Source organism: Homo sapiens, chromosome 7, assembly GCF_000001405.40.
Source record: "Homo sapiens chromosome 7, GRCh38.p14 Primary Assembly".
Classification (NCBI taxonomy): Eukaryota; Metazoa; Chordata; class Mammalia; order Primates; family Hominidae; genus Homo; species Homo sapiens.
This window is the reverse complement of record NC_000007.14, coordinates 110,835,877-110,837,047: the sequence shown is the minus strand read 5'-3', so window position 1 is coordinate 110,837,047 and position 1,171 is coordinate 110,835,877. Positions and strand designations below refer to the sequence as shown.

Here is a 1,171-nt window from a genome sequence, read left to right as displayed (position 1 = left end):
CTTAGGTATTCTGCCTTTAATTTTTATGAAAAATCCCTGAACTTGAGATTACTGATTCAAAAGGTATCTTCACCTTTAAATAGTAATGGACCTTGCCATATTACTTTTCAGAAAGGTTGTGGTAATTCACATGGCCATCAGCAGTGAAGCAGAATTTCTCTGCACCCTGGGGATCCTTATTAGTTCTGGATTTATCAGTCTTTAAAATTGTTTTCCAATTCAATTGGCAAAAATATAAGAGAATTTCATTAATGCTTTATGTTTCATTATACCACATCAGCCACCTAAAGCACAAGGGCAAACAACCAAAAGCCTAGGGCCACAGAGGTTTCTAAGGGGATTTTTTAATAACTTATGATGCATGAGAGAATTTTGCCATGTGTGTTTATGAGGTGTATTAGTCTGTTTTCACACTGCTGATAAAGACATACCCAAGACTGGCAATTTACAAAAGAAAGAGGTTTATTGGGCTTTCAGTTCCATGTGGCTGGGGAGGCCTCACAATCATGATGGAAGGTGAAAGGCACGTCTCACATGGCAGCAGGCAAGAGAAGAGAGCTTGTACAGAGAAACTCCCCTTTTAAAACCATCAGATTCGTGAGACTTATTTACTGTCACAAGAACAGCACAGGAAAGACCTACCTCTATCATTCAATTACCTCCTACTGGGTATCTTCCTCAACACATGGAAATTCCAGATGAGATTTGTGTGGGGACACAGCCAAATCATATCATGAGGACCACCCCCCCAATTTATGACAATACTTGTAAATTCAGGTTTTACTCTCAGAGAAATTCTGGAACACAACCAGCTGGAATGTAGGAATTGAGTGGGTTGATAGAACAGCGGGAATACAGGAACCAGTATTAACCTAACCTTATCATTTCTGAATTGCTCTTACAGAGATTTCATTCCACCAGGTCACATGTTTACAAAGAACTCAGCTCCCCTCCACTCCCAATTTATGCAATACTGACTGAGATTTGTTATCTTATTAACTCACCACAGGATCTGTCATTCATTAATATATGTCATTTGTAGGTGCTTCTAGCTACAAATGACAGTGAACAATTGGGTGTTGCCCTGGGTGTAAATGTAATTACAATGTTCATTTCAGCATATGCCATGCTCTGCAAAGTCAGTGACCCATTGGGAAAAATGGGTCAAAAA

At 39.3% G+C, this 1,171-nt stretch overlaps 1 protein-coding gene across 18 annotated transcripts in view; it reads left to right on the top strand.

Annotated features, from left to right (window-relative positions):
- Positions 1-1,171, top strand: part of IMMP2L (inner mitochondrial membrane peptidase subunit 2) — an 899,849-nt gene that overhangs the window by 725,445 nt on the left and 173,233 nt on the right. The gene's annotated exons all lie outside the window — the stretch shown is intronic.